Genomic DNA, 15,765 nt, shown 5'->3' on the forward strand with positions numbered 1-15,765 from the left:
GGGCAGATAGGATCATCCTCATGCCCCAGCCAAGGAAACTGAGGCCCAGAGAGGGCAGACTCCTACCCAAGGCCACACAGCAGCTGGCAGTAGTATGAGGACTAGAATCTGGACCATCTGGGCCCAAACCCTGTGATGGGTCATGGGACAGGGCTCTGTCACCTCCATCATCCACACAAAACACTCAACAAAACCTCCATTTTACACACAAGGAAAGAAAAGGCCAGAAAGAGAGGGAGTGTGATTTCTCTGAAGCCACTCAGTAAGTTGGCATCAAAGCCTGGAGCCAAACCCGGGGCTCGTGACTCCAGATGCAGTGCTCCGCCCAACGAGCCTGGTTGGAGGAACAAAGGGAGCCTGAGTGAGCTGGGCTGGGGAGACTGAGGAGCAGCACAGCACAGCAGGCAAGAGCCAGGCTCCGGAGCCTCCCGCCTGGGTGCACATCCAGCTTTGCCACTTACTAGCTGTGTGACCTTGGGCAACTCACTTCACCTCTCTGTGCCTCTGTTTACTCACCTAGGAAATGAGAGCAACCACGGCACCCACCTCGTAGGGCTATTATGCAGACAAAGGAAGTTATACTTGTCAGGCCAGCCACAGTGGCTCACGCCTGTAATCCCAGCACTTTGGGAGGCCGAGGCAAGCGGATCGCTTGAGGCCAGGAATTTGAGACCATCCTGAGCAACATAGTGAAACCTCGTCTCTACAAAAAATACAAAAATTAGCCAGGTATGGTGGTGTACACCTGTGGTCCCAGCTACTCGGGAGGCTAAGGCGGGAGGATGCCTGAGCCCAGGAGGTGGAAGCTGTAGTAAGCTGTGCTCACAACACTGTACTCCAGCCTGAGCCACAGAACAAGACCAAAAAAAAAAAAAAAACAAACAAACCATGTCGAGGAGTTAGAGCAATGCCTTCCATCATGCAAATCTTTGCCCAACAGATGCTCCCAACATGAAACACATCGAATATGACACTAACATACTCCCAAGCACCAAAAACCTCCCGGTTGGGGACATCACAGGGGTCCTCATACTTGTGACACTGTAGCAGCATAATTTAGGGGACTGGGCAGAAGAGCTGGGGTTCTCTGTTCAAAATAAAGGAAGACAAGACAGGTACAGGGAAGGCTAGCTGGAGACTTGACTCTGAATGACAGGAGGGCAGTCAGAGGTGCTGTGCCCCACATCTAACGATGACTCGGATGCTGGGTGCAGGATGAACTGGGGAGTGGGGGTGATGGCAGAGGCGGAGAGATGGCTGCAGAAGTCCATGGGAGACACGGGTGGCTGTGGGTGGCTCAGCCCAGGGTGGCGGCAACACCGAGGTGGTGCTCCCCACTCCCTGCCCTACGTCACCAAATCCTTGCATCTCCGGCGGGTGCTAGCTGCTCTGATCCCCACCTACACAGTAGCCCTGGGAGTTTCCTGCCTGAAACCACGCTGCTAGTAAGAGGCTGAGCCCAGCCTTGAACTTCCACCAGTTCTACAGGGGAGAGAGTTTTTGAGTTTGAAGGAAACATGCTCCTTCCTACCCCAACGTCTCTGGGACTGTGGGAGGGGCCACCGCGGTGTGGGGTGTGTTGGCTCCCCGCCTGGGTCCTGCATGGGTCTTCTGGCTTCACACCCACCCCGTCACCACCCAGCCCTGGGACTGGTCTCTCTCTTCTCTCTCCAGTCTCACCTCCCTCCTGCCAGCCTGGCAAGTCCCCCAAGACCCCTCCACCTCCCCCCAATCTTCCCAAGCCACCCCTTTCCTGCGGCTCAAAAGCATACAGGATGAAGTCCAACGCATGTGGACGTCACCTGTGCTCCCAGCTGGCACAAGCTCCCACCTGCCCCACCATCGCCCCTAACCCAGACCTTCATTCTCCCCTCCTCCAGGCCTCTCCTCAGCCACCCCCACCACACTGACTAGAACGATGCTTGCTTCTGCTCCCCACCAAACCCCTCCCCAGCGTCTCAACCAGAAGAGAAATCCAATTTGTGTGAAGGGCTTGGGGTGACTCTGTGTCGAGGCCACGCTTCCCTTTCTGTTTGTGGAAGGACGCGGGTGCTCTTCTTGGAGCAAGGAGAAAAGGTTTCTTTGTGCAGGGTCTGGTGAAAGTGTGTCTGTTTAGGGCAGGCTGCAGTTTTCTTTGTGAACACTGTAGATTTTTAGTGTGGGAAAAAGGGCTTATTACATTTCCCTGTGGCTGCCCGAGTGGGGAGAGGTTTTTCTGAGCCTAGAAAGGAATGGCCGAACAGGCAAACAGGCGTTGGAGAGGAGGGAACATTTAGCAGCTCCTTCTCACGGAGCGGTGAGGATCTCCTGGTTGGTGTTCGCATTTGGATGCACGTGAAACACACAGAAGGAAAGAAAGCTTTGCTGTAGTTTGATGGAAGGGAGGGAAGTTTAGCCTTGATGTATAGGGGTGGGGGAGGCGAGATTTTGTTCAGGGGGCTATTGGGATGTTTTTTTCCTCTTCGAGTAAAAAAATAAAATAGTCACAGAACCCAGAGGAAAGGTTGTCATGGCAACAAAAGTTTGAGGCCAGGTACTTGCTATCACCCTTTCAGGACCACCGTGGTGGAGAAGGCAGGATTTTGGCACTGTAGGATCAGCTGCAGAAACCACCCCAGCTGGCTCCGATTCCCAAATTTCTCACCAGCACTGACAAGCTGATAACTATTTTCCAAGCTCTCAGAGAGGAAAATTGTGATTTTGGGGGAGGGATGATCTCCAGCCCACAGTGGCCAAGAGGAAACTGGGGGTTTCTTTTATTTATGCAACAAACTAACCATCCGCATTTCTAACTGAGTTTTGGGAGTGAGGGTCTTAACTGAGTCCCCCAAAATGCCAACTTCCCTGACCCCTCAACTGTACTATTCTCTTCCGCGATCCCTTCACTCTGATTTCTTTCTGTTCCCGAGAAGGTAATTCCAGCTCCCTTGCCAGAATCCCCTGTGAGCCTAAGTTCCTCATCTGAAAAAGCAAGTACCCTAGAAGTGTCTGCCTCAAAGGTGGCGGCCAGGATTCAACAAGATTCAGGAGATGAGAAGTTTCAGCAGGACCTGGTGAACGTTAAAGGCTCAATAAATGTTAGCCAACATTGTTTTTTAAATAATTTTCAATTAATAATTTTTTAAAATACTTAAATATCCCAAGTCAAGCCCTGAAAGAACTACAGGGAAATAATTGTAGCAAGTACTGGGACCGTGACCTTCAGGGAGCAGCCAACAGAGACTCCAAACAATTAAGAGGCTCAGCTGAGCAGCTTGGACCAGGACACTCCACAGAGGTAGAGACAGGACCACTCCGGTGCCAGAGATGCCTCATTGTATTTTCAGGTGTGTGCACAGAGGAAGGGAGGCAGAGGTGGTATCTCCCCAGGGCTGGGTCTCCTGAGCCTTGGAAACACCTTCTTGAACTTGGAGAAAGATGTACAGTAGCAAGATGTCTACCTCCAAGGACGAAGATGTTCCTGACAACAAGGTGTTACGAGGCCTCCGTGTGAGAGATTAGGGTTGGGCTGTGCGGAAGGCAGGGAATTTTGGCCAAGATGCCTTTTGAAGTTAATAATTTTAATTGCATCCCACAGTAAACATTTGAGTGTTGAGTGTAAACCAGAAGTGGGTCTGATGGGATGAAACCAATCAGGGGCAGGTCCATATTCAAACACCATGTATCTCTGACAAACGGCCAGCCTGGCTCAAGTCACAGAAAAGTTTGGTCAGCCACCCCCAGAAGAGAGACAGAGGAGGCAGCACCGCAGGAAGCCTCCGGTTCATCATCCCAACCCCATCCAGTATGCACCCGGCAAATGTTTATTGAAGACCTACTATGCGCTAGACATTACTGGGAGGCAGCAGTGAACAAGACCAACCGGGCTGGCCCTCACAGAGTGACATCCTATGGGGAGTGGGGACTATAAGCTAGTGACCAAAAACAGGCCCCAGAAAATGTCAGGGAGTGCCAAGTGTGGCAGGGAGATAAACGCAGTGGTGAGATCCAAAGATGGAGACCCTCCCTCCAACGGGGAGCTCACAAGGTTGTCCCTCCTCAGTATCCTGACATGGAAGGCAGGTGGGAGAGTCCCAGTGAAAGGAGCCCCTGAAGAAGGAGGTGGGGCGGGGAAGGGCATTCCAGACAGAGGATGCAGCCTGTGCAGAGGCCTGGAGCTTTTCACTGGGTTCGCTTCACAGCTTCCTCCCTCTGCCCTCTAAACCACTTAGGCCACTGGCTTATTTAGGGCAAACTAAGGGTGGAGGTCTGCTGTAACCCACCCTTGAGCACACACATATGTGTGGTGTCCACACTGAGGAGCTAGGCATGCAGGGAGGAGTTTTAACCTTGGAGAAAGAGGTCAATTCACTCAGGAGGGTGTCCATGCCTGGACACCCGCTCAGAGATACCACGTCTTTCGGGCCAGCTCTACCTGCTGTGTGGCACAACCAGCTGTCCGGCAGCTGTCCCCTGGGCCCTGCCACAGCCCGGCTGTCTGCCTCCAAAACACGCACTCCAGCCCAGGCTGCCTCTGGAGGGTAGAGGAGGGGGTCCAGGCAAAGGGGACAGTCTGATCTGCCTTCTGAAAAGTCAGTCCCCCACCGAACCTAATAGGAGCCTTGTGCTAAGCTAAGCCCTCCTGGACTCCTCGACCCGGAGTTTGCCCAGCTGTCCCCAGTTCCCTAGCCTGCCTCTCCCAGGAGGGGGCCAGGATACAGAGGGCTCCCTGGCGTCTGGCAATAGGGGTGCCTCTGGGCGGGTGCGGCTTTCCGGGAGCCCGCGGGACTCCCCCACTCCCCACTCCCGTCTGGGAGGTTCGGCGTGGGTTGGCGATGGGGGTGGAAGGCTCCCGGGTCTGTGGATCTGCGGCAGGAGGGGCGGCTGGTAGCAGGAGTCCCTGCATCACCCCCACCCCCAGGGGCGTTCCGGGGTGGGTGGGGGCATCTAGTGCCCCGCGAAAGGAAGAGGAGGAGGGGGCGAGCGTGGAGATGAGTTCAGGAGCGGAAAGCAGCGCGCGCCCCTCCGACCGGCAGCGGGGGTGGGCGCCTTCCCGGGGCGCGGGAGCGTCCCCAAAGCCGCGGGGCGTCCGCAGCGGGTAGGAGCTCTGCCTTGCACCTCTCCACGGCGGGGCGTCCCGCACGTCCCCCCATGCTGGTCCCCGGCCCCGGAACGGCGCGCGCCCCCTGCCCCGGAACGTCGCCCCTAGCCAGGCGGAGCGCTGGGAGCTGGGCCCAGGCGGCGGGAGGAGGGCGAACGGGTCCGGGGCTCGGGCCTCGATGGCCGCGCCGCCCCGGGGGAGCCGGAGCCGAGCTGGCCGCCGCCCGCGCGCACTCACCAAGCCCGCTGAGCTCCTCCTCGCACGAGTACCAGATGCCGGTGTGGAAATTCCTGAAGAGGAAGCGGTCGTCGCCGGTCTCCCAGCTGTAGAGCGCGCCGCCAGGGGGGCCGTTCCCCGAGGCGGTGGCGGCGGCGGCGGCGGCGGCGGGGGCGGCGGTGCCGTTGGCCGTGGCGTTGGCGCCCGAGTTGGGGCAGTTGGCGCGCCCGCCCTGGCCGCAGCCCGGCTTGGGGACCCGCTGCGTGCCCTGGCACCAGTGCGTGGTGAGGAAAGCGGTGGTGGCGAACAGCAGCGCCAGCAGGTTCAGGGCCACGGCCAGGAGCGCTCGGCCGCGGCGGCTAGTCTTCATGCCGCCCGCGCCGCCGGGACGGGACTGCACCGCCGGGGAGCTCCGCGCGCGAAGTTGGCAGCTGGCGCCCCGCGTCAGCGGCCGCTGCCCGCCGCGCCCCGGGGCTCGGGTGCCTGAGATCGGCGGCGGCGGACGCGGCGCGGGCCCATGCCCCCCCCAACCCCGGGGTGGGGGCGCGGCGCGGGGGGCGTGCGGGGCGGGCTGGCGGGGCGGGCGGCGGTGGAGGAGCGGCTACGGCGCGCCCGGAGCCCGGAGCGCGAGTGCACCTCGGCTAGGAGCCGCTGGCGCCTGGCAGCGGCCACGGCGCAGGGACGCGCGCCCCTCCGTGGGGAGACACCTGCAGGCGGCCGGCGACACTGTTCCGGAGCCCGCCCGCACGGGGAGAGGGGGCCGCCACGCCGGGCGCGGGCGGGGGCCTGGGAGTGGAGGGACGCCCCCGAAAGAAATCCGAGCCAGGGTGAGGGTCTGAGACGCAAGGAGAATCCCAGGCAAGGCGCTCCTGAGAAAAGATCCCCACGGCGGACGTGGGGCAACAAAACCCGCCGGGAGCGGGCATCTCATGAGACCCAGAGAGGCCCTGCCCCAGGAGACAAGGGCAGAGCCTGCTGGGGCTCCCCAAGAGGGACACGGACCAGCAGGACCCTGTCCCAGAAGGGGATCCCCAAAAGGACCCCCGCACCAGACCCTGAGAAAGGAGTTTTTCCAAAGGTTCTAAACAGCAGAGCCTGCAGGGCTTCCCACAGCCAGGGAGCTGCAAGACCCCCTGGATAAGACAACCCATGCTGGACTTGGAGTGGCAGAATCTGTCAGGAGGCGCCCCTCCTGGAGTATTGGGTTATAGGGTTTGAAACGTTTTTCTGTCTCCTGGGTGTCACCTCCAGCATCTGGGAAGAGCTCCCCTCCAAGGATGAAACTGTCATCTGGGCTCCCAACCATGGCATGCAACTGCAGGAAGAGTGGCAACAGGGTACCCCAGACAGCCCACTGCACCCACCTGAGATCCCAAACAGCAGAACCCTAGGAGGGCCCATGCCGGCCACAAAGTTATTGCAGCTACCAGGCAGTGGTGCCCTACAGGGGCTGCCAACCCTGCTCACATGCACACCATGTGAATGTGGGTAGAATCTTCAAGATTCGGGTGGGGGCAGGGTGGCCAAACATACTGACTTTGGGATCAAGCATATCTAGGGCTTGACCAGCTGTGTGGCTTTGAACAGGTCACTTACCCTCTCTGAGCCTCAATTTCCATAACTATAAAAAAGGGAGGACCCCCCCCCCTTCAAGGTATATCACAGTGGGCTGCTGTAATGAGATCATGGCTGCAAAAAGCATTTGGCACACAGTAGACTCAATTAATAATTCACTGTTACTGACATCTGAACCAAGATCAGTTGACCAAACTCAGACAAACCTCTTCAGGCTCTCCTGTGCAACGTGGAAACTGTGTGCAACCCCGTCCCCACCTCTGCTCTAAGATGACCACGCTCCCTGAACTCCCTTCGCGCTGCACAGCACTTACTGCCCAGATGCTCAGGGCGTGCAACAATTAATTGCATGTTGATTATAAGAGCTCATTTGAATTCTGCCCAAGCTGAGAACTGCTCCGACAACCCCCGGCTTGCCGAGTGGCAGGCCTTGCAGAATTCAAGGTTAACCGATTATGAATTGCCTTACTCCTGTGGGTGAGCCGGCACCCACTGTCAGCTGCTGCTAATCTGCCGGGGGGTAGGTGAGAGGAAAACGTTGTGGGCAACGTCCCTGGTAAGAGCAGGCACGAAGGATGGCCAAGGGTCTCCAAACTTGCTTTTAGAGCCCTTTTCTGGCACTGTGCAAGAGATTCTCAACTATTTTGAAAGAGAGGACCTCCATGTGATAATGGTGGCATTGAGAGTATTGGTTGACAGAGAAAATACATCATCGCCAAACAGCTGTAAAGAATCCAGTAGCATCTTTTTTTTTTTTTTTTTTTTGAGATGGAGTCTCACTCTGTCGCCCAGGCTGGAGTGCAGTGGTGCAATCTCAGCTCACTGCAACCTCCGCCTTCTGGGTTCAAGCGATTCTCATACTTCAGCCTCCCGAGTAGCTGGTATTACAGGCGCTTGCCACCACGCCTGGCTATTTTTCATATTTTTAGCAGAGACGGGGTTTCACCGTGTTGGTCAGGCTTGTCTCGAACTCCTGACCTCAAGTGATCTGCCCGCCTCGGCCTCCCAAAGTGCTGGGATTACAGGCATGAGCCACCGCACCCAGCCTCCAGTAGCACTTTTAAACTGGCATGCAGTATTCATCATGAGTGTCTGTGTACCAATGAAAACCAGCCCCTCGATGTGTGCTAAACAGGGTACTTCTTTGGACTCGAGGCTGTGGTTGGTGTGCATGTGAGCAGGGCTCGGTGACCTACAGCTGGGAACCCTGTCCTGCATGTTCAAAGCCAGGAGAGCCCAGGTGAGATATGTCTCAGGGACCACACTCTCTCAAGAAACACCTGAGGATGCACAGAGGGATTTGGAATTTCCATCTAAGATGCTCCTCCACTCACTGAGCCACCCACTGAATGCTCAGCACTGGGAAGAAAAGAGAACGTGAACAAAGTTCGTAAGAAAGAACATCACTCAGAACTTTGAGAGGCCGAGGCGGGCAGATCACCTGAGGTCAAGAGTTCAAGACCAGCCTGGCCAACATGGCGAAACCCTGTCTCTACTAAAAATACAAAAATTAGCCTGGTGTGGTGGCGCACAACTGTAATTCCAGCTACTCAGGAGGCTGAGGCAGGAGAATCCCTTGAACCCCGGGGGCAGAGGTTGCAGTGAGCTGAGATCGTGCCACTGCACTCCAGCCTGAGCGAGAGAGCGAGACTTTGTCTCAAAAAGAAAAAAAGAAAGAACACTGCAGAGTATGCAGGGGTGAAAGCCAGGGAGAGCAATTCAGCAGGGAGGGATCAAAGTGGGGATGGCTTCAAGGAGGGCCTCACTGAGAAGGGGACATTGGAGCAAGGATTTGAAGGAGATGTAGGGGCAAGCCATGAAGACATCCGGGGGAATGGAAGTTCCAGGCAGAGGGATGGCCAGTGCAAAAGCCTCGAGGCAGGAGCCTGTCTGGCCCTTTGGGGAAAAACTGAGAGCACAGTGTGGCTGCAGCTGAGTGAGCAAAGGGCAGAGGAGGAAAAAAAGGGGGCGGGAGGTGCTAGAGGAGGGGACAGATCACACAGGAATGCAGAGACCACACAAGGACTCAGGTATTCACTCTGAGCAAGATATTCATGCCGGCGGAGGGTCTGGGCAGAGGGGACCCATGTCTGGTTTCGTGTCTAACAGGACCGCACGTGCTGCTATGGGAAGAAGGGTGGAAGCAGAGAGACCAGACAGGCTGGTGTGTGGATTCCAGTGCATGAGGCCAGGGACTCAGACCAGTGTGGGGACAGGCATGGTGGAGGTTCTGGGTCAGCTTTAAAGGCAGCTCCAGGCCAGGTGCGGTGGCTCACGCCTTTCATCTCAGCACTTTGGGAAGCCGAGGAGGAAGGGTCACTTGAGTCCAGGAGTTCAAGAGCAGCCTGGGCAACAGAGTGAGACCCTATCTCTACAAAAGAAAATTAAAAATGAGTTGGATGTGGAGGTGTGTGCCTGTAGTCTCAGCTACTTGGGAGGCTGAGGCAGGAGGATCGCTTGAGCCGGGCAGGTTCAAGGCTGCAAGGAGCTATGATCGAACCACAGCACTCCAGCCCGGGTGACAGAGTGAGACCCTGTCTCTAAAAAAAAGAAAGTGAAATAAAGGCAGATCCAGCAGGATTTGCCCACGATAGAACACGGGGAAGTATGACTCCGATGTGTTCGGCAGGAGTTCCCGCAGGGATGGAGTTGCTATTGGCTGAGTCAGAAGCAGACCTGTGGGGCACAGGGAAAATCCAAAATTCTGGCTGAGTTTGTACTGGGCCTTTCCCATGAGCTGAAGACAGTGGATGGAGATTACACCCTTGGAGGGACCACTTCAGATGTCTACACAACCTTCGAAGTGAATCCAAACTCATCAGCAAAACCCTTGGATCACCACAGGGATTTTTATCCCAAATAGTGATATAGTTGGAATTACCTTGGGCGTAGAGGGAAGCGGTTGCAGGGAGAGGTAATGGGATTTGTTTAGGAGGCCAGAAATGTGAGCCTAAGTCCCTGGCTCCCTCCTCTCTGGCTCACTGCCACAGGCCAAGGCCTCACTGCAGCCTCCTGTCTCCATGCTGTCCCTCAGCCACCCCAACCCTGCACCTGCCTCCAGAGAGACCAGCCCCACACACCTCCGCCAAACCCCCCCCAAATGCTCCCACCGCCTGCCCTGCAGGACAAAAAGGCTCAATGACTGAGTTCGCTCTTCCAGGTCCTAGTGACTAGCTCCTGTCCACGTCTCCAGCCCCTTTGCCGCCCCTGCACTGCCACAGCTGCACCAAACCACCGTGCGGCGTCAGACCACCTGGTGCTCAAACTGAACCCAGGCCTTCACACACATTCCTTCCTCTCCATGGAAAATCCTTGCTCTCCTTCCTCTGTGCGTCTTTCAGGGTGCTGTTGTAAGCCTCATGCCGCCGTAGAATCCTCCCTGACCCCTATCCCACGTCCTGGCAGCCAGTCATCCCTCCTCTGATCTTCAATATCATGAATCACTCTGAACCATGATGTCTGTTTTCACACCTGTCTCCCCCACGTGCCTGGGAGCCCCTCCAGCTCACCCCACATGGCACCTGCAGACCAAATCTGGCCCTTAAGCTTATTTTGTTTGGCCTGGATGGAACTGGCCTCTACAGAGTGTTAAATTTTTATCAGTTGCCAACATTCCAGAATCATGAGAGTTCACATAAGAATCTAGACTCCCAGGCCAGGCGAGATGGCTCCCACCTATAATACCAGGACTTTAGGAAGCTGAGGCAGAAGGATTGCTTGAGGCCAGGAATTGGAGACCAGCAGGGCAAAAAAATTAAATCCTATCTCTATAAAAATTTTTAAATTAGCCAGGTGTGGTGGTGTGCCCCTGGCTCGTGTTTTTATACTCAACAAAATTTACCAGAAAAACTGTTGCTATTAATAATGAAATTCATACTTTTCAGGAAACATGAATCTGCCTTGAAGGGATGTGTCCCCAATGCATTTCATGTTTCCTTGGAGTCCGTGGCTACGGTCATTTGTTAGCTTCTGGGCTTCCTAAGTCACTTCCTGGTTTCTACACCTTCAAAACAGAGCTTGGGAAAACAGAACATCCCCAGCCTCCAGCCTCTCCTAATTATAGCAAGAGATTAGCCAATTTCCAATTATCAGGGAAGTTTTTTAAACATCGACTCCCAAGGTATGCAAGCCTAATGCCCACTTCACTCCCCTGGTTAACCCGTCACTCCGGGTTTCTGGGGAAAGCCAGCCTCACAGTGCTGGTATGCTTACCAGGCTGTTCGTGGTTCAGGGCCACTGTTCCCAGGGAAGGGAAGGCCCTCAAGCTCTGTGCAATCAAAGACATCCCAGGGGGTAGATTCTCCGGAGGTGAAAGGAACCAGCTTCATTAGAAAGTGATCAGCTGGGGCTACCTGTGTGTTCTTGGAAACTGTTGTAGCCCTTGTCTATTCAGGAAGTGTTTATCAGCCTCCTGCTCTGTGCTGGGCATTCAGTGAACAAGACAGGCCAGGTCTATGCCTTCATGGGGCTTACCTTCTAGAAGGGGAGACAACAATAAACAAGGGGCTGGGCGTGGTGGCTCACACCTGTCATCCTGACAATTTAGGCGGCCAAGACAGGTGGATGGCTTGAGCCCAGGAGTTCAAGATCATCGAGCAACACAGTGAGACCCCCGTCTCTACAAAATATACAAAAAAAGTTAGCCGGTTATGGTGGCACGTGCCTGTCATCCCAGCTACTCGGGAGGCTGAGGTGGAAGGCTCACTTGAGCCTGGGAGGTGGAGGTTGCAGTGAGCTATGATTGAGCCACTGCACTCCAGCTTGGATGACAAGGCGAGACCTTGTCTTTAATGATAATAATAATAAACAGGGAAGTGGGTGATAAATTCCCCAAATGCATAGATGGTAATCTGTGCAGGAGAACAAAGAAAAGATCTACTGGGGGACCCTCACTGATGAGGGATTGTTATATAATATATGCATGGACACTGAAACATTACACTGCACCCCAGAAATATGTAGCAATTATTATGTGTCAATTATAAAATTAAAAAGTAATTAATTTTTAGAGATAACTGGGAAGGTCTGAGTGTTAATCCTGGCTCTGCTGCATCTGGGCTGCGTGTTTTTGGATCTGTTCCCAATCTCTCGCTCAGAGCCTCAGTTTCCTCGTCTGTGAAATGAGGGCGGGAAAAGGACACCAATATGTGTGGAGTGTCTCAGCACAGGAACGCATTTCCACACATGGTCGCCCATCTCTCGTCATTCTCAATCCTCAAGGGGTTAGTCGTGTCCATTTTATAGATGAGGAAACTGACGCTGCTCAGAGAGGCTCCATCAATTGCACCAAGCCTACGTGACAGAAGCGTGGGGCACGTAGACAGAAGTGTCTTGGAGGGCTGACGGTTGGGGGGCACTCCTATCCCAGGGCCTTCAAGACCGGCCCAGGAGCTTTGATCTCACTCCGCCAGCCATGAGGATCCAGCGACGGCTGGAGCAGGCGCACGACGCTGCGTTTCTGGAAGGCGGCTCTGGGGACCCGCGGTCGGTTGGATGGGAGGTGAGGCATCGTGGGGATGTGTTAGGAGGCTCACGCATAGTCCATGCCAAGTACTGAAGTCTGCTCTGAGCCATGAGAAGGAACCTCACACTTGTTCCCCAGCTGCGTTCTCGAAGAATCAAGCCAAAACCCGCCACACAAGAGCTTTAGTACATCTGCCAGAAAATGCTCTCAGAGGCAGGGACACAGCAGCCCGCAAACTGGCCCTGACTCCAACACCCAGGACAGAAAGGAAATGCGTGACAGGTCACAGATAGGTTTGGGTGGGATAGAGCAGTAACAAATGAGATGAGGAAGAGTTACTCCTCAGGTCAGAGACTGCACACATTGATTTGGCACCGACTGTATACCATGCGCTTTAGCCAAAGGGATACAATTAAATCGACCCTTATGGAATTCTTACTAGATCTCAGCTGGAGAAACAGCTCAAGAAGTAGCAGGACAGTGGCCAGAGTCCAGGACCACCCGGGGTCCCCTCTACCTGTCGTGGGCCAGCTCTGTGTCATCTTCGGATAAATGCAGTGTTCAGGTTAAAGCCCCACCGCTCAAAATGAGCCTTGGGGGTCAGTGACTCCCTTCCGTATTCCCCACGCTCAATGGGATTTTTCTCGGTCCTCAGGGGCTGCAGATGGTTTATTTTACTCCATTCCTGAGGAGGGAGAACGAGGAAGGTTGGGGAGAAAGGAGACATTATAAGGTGTCTCCTGCACCAGCCCTTATGGGGCTGTTTTCCTAGAGTAGGTTTCAAAGCTGTTGTTTTGCTTCCCTCTGCTGCCTCCTAGGGGCCAAGAGTGGGACCGCCAGTCTTGATCCCCTGGACCAGTAAGAGCGTCCCCTCCACACTCATCCATCCACCACCAAGACACGAAAACTGCCCAGGTGAGGGACTTGGGATTTAATGAAACGACTAAGAGCAGAGATCTCCAACTGGGCAGGAACATTTATGAATTACACAATGATGCACTAACATATTACGAGCTGTACATAAAGCATAAAATATCCCTTATTCCAAAGAGCTTGGGACCAGATGTGTGTCAGATTTTGGACTTTTTCCGATTTCTAACTTCTTCAGATTTTGGAATATCCACTTTGTACTTACCAGTTAAGCATCCCAAATCCGGAAATCTGAAATATGTTGTTGTTGTTGTTGTTGTTTTGTTGTTGTTATTGTTTTGAGACAGAGTCTCACTCTGTCACCCAGGCTGGAGTGCAGTGGCTCAATCTCAGCTCACTGCAACCTCCGACCCCTGAGTTCAAGCGATTCTCCTGCCTCAGCCTCCCGAGTAGCTGGGACTATAGGCGAGTGCCACCATGCCTAGCTAATCTTTGTATTTTTGGCAGAGACGGGGTTTCACCATGTTGGCCAGGCTGGTGACAACTCCTGACCTCAAGGGATCTGCCCACCTCGGCCTCAAAATGCTCCAGTGAGCATTTCTGTTGAACATCATATCAGCACTCAAAATGTTTTGGATTTTGGAGCATTTTAGGTTTTGGCTTTTCAAATTTTGGATGCTCAACCTGTATAAAAACTAGGAATTCTTAACGGAGGACATGAAGATTAAATAAACACTACTTTGAAATATTTTTATTTTACTTGCTAACAGTAAAATTCACCTTTTGGCTTTCATTTGAGCATTCCAAATGTTCTTTTCCTGATAGCAATGCAATTGAATCTTTTTTATTTTTTGGAAAGCTTAGGTTTGGAAAGCACGGTACGTGCTGTGGTGACATGAGAATCTCGTTCTGTGGAGAGTGATGTCCATACTTGGTTTGAGTGGCTATTAGAGCTGCAAACGATACCTCACAAAGATTTGTAAATTCAAATGGAAGAAGTGCCATATGCTGTGCTTTCTAAATATTAATATCAATACTCGTATTTTAATCCCATTCACCAAATAGGGAACTATTTTTTGGTGAAATTGACTAGTACTGTATACATCCATCTTCCTGGATAGCCCTCATTTCATCTTGAAAAGAATTCAGAAAATTGGTATTTGCAGATTTGTAATAAATGGATTCAAAACTTCCTAAAAGTTTTCTTTTGAAAGATTTTGAAATTGGCTAGAATTTTCTGTTTCCCAGTTCTTCAAGTGTGCAGACGTGGGGAGGTTTTAAAAGGAAACACACTTTCTTTGCTTTTTGGCAATAAAAGCTGATAACAATGGAAACATTTCCAAACATCTGCTTTCAAAATGCTCTTTCCAAAACGTGAGTATCTCTCAAAAAGCACTCACATTCTCATTCATTGTTTAAAAATCACCTTCTCCTTGAAGGGGCGGATCCTGTGCTTTCTTTGGAGGGGGACAAGTAGCTGACAGTCACATGTCACCCGAAGAAGACATCAGTAAATGAAAGCATTTGTCTTATCATAAAAGAAAATAATGAAACTCATCTTCAGGCTCAACAGCTGTTTTGAGTCACCCTCATGGTCACCCCCCATCTCAAAACAAAGTGTCATTGAAGAATCTTCTAGGAAAGTCATATTTTTAGGAGTAATTTATAAATAATAATAATAAACAACAATAGAAAGTCCTGATTCTGGACCAGGCACAGTGACTCACGCCTGTAATCCCATCACTTTGGGAGGCCGAGGTGGGTGGATCACTTGAGGTCAGGAGCTCAAGACCAGACTGGGCAATATGGACAAACCCCATCTTCACAAAAAGTACAAAAAAAAGTTAGACAGGCATGGTGGTGCATGGTGGTCCCAGCTACTCAGGAGGCTGAGCTGAGAGAATCGCTGGAGCCCTGGAGGAGGAGGTTGCAGTGAGACGAGATTGTGCCACTGCACTCTAGCCTGGGCGATAGAGCCAGACCTTGTCTCAAAAGAAAAAAAAAATCCTGATTATGTGTTGGGCACTGTTGTAAGCAGACTCACGCACATTAACTCATTACATCTACAAGCAACCCTGTGAGGCAGGTATGATTCCAGTCTTCTTTGACAGATGAGGAAACAGAGGCACAGACACGGCGGAACTGGTAAAGTGTTTTCAGGACCTTATTGTGACTGTGACAGATGATACTGTCAAAGGGGAGACTGCTGATGGGACAGAGGGTACAGCATGGTGTATTAATCTGTTCTCACACGGCTAATAAAGACATACCCGAGACTGGGTAATTATATGGGAAAGAGGTTTAATGGACTCACAGTTCCACATGGCTGGGGAGGCCTCACAATCATGGTGGAAGGCAATGGAGGAGCAAAGTCACATCTTACATGGCAGCAGGCAAGAGGGTGTGTGCAGGGGAACTCCCCTTTATAAAACCATCAGCTCTCATGAGACTTATTCACCACCATGAGAACAGTATGAGGAAACCGCCTCCAGGACTCAATTATCTCCACCTGGCCCCGCCCTTGAAATGTGGGGATTATTACAATTCAAGGTGAGATTTG

At 53.1% G+C, this 15,765-nt stretch overlaps 1 protein-coding gene across 5 annotated transcripts in view; it reads right to left on the bottom strand.

The window, feature by feature from the left end:
• The window catches only part of GSG1L (GSG1 like), a 276,187-nt gene extending 270,231 nt beyond the window's left edge, over nt 1-5,956 (bottom strand). For all 5 annotated transcript variants that reach the window (NM_001323901.2, NM_001109763.2, NM_001323900.2 and 2 more), the window contains exon 1: nt 5,318-5,956. In NM_001323901.2, the coding sequence (NP_001310830.1) occupies nt 5,318-5,666 (349 nt within the window). In that variant the 5' untranslated portion in view covers nt 5,667-5,956. The remainder of the gene's footprint in view (nt 1-5,317) is intronic.
• Nucleotides 5,957-15,765: the final 9,809 nt, after the last annotated feature.

The sequence above is a fragment of the Homo sapiens genome, chromosome 16 (assembly GCF_000001405.40).
Source record: "Homo sapiens chromosome 16, GRCh38.p14 Primary Assembly".
Taxonomy (NCBI): Eukaryota; Metazoa; Chordata; class Mammalia; order Primates; family Hominidae; genus Homo; species Homo sapiens.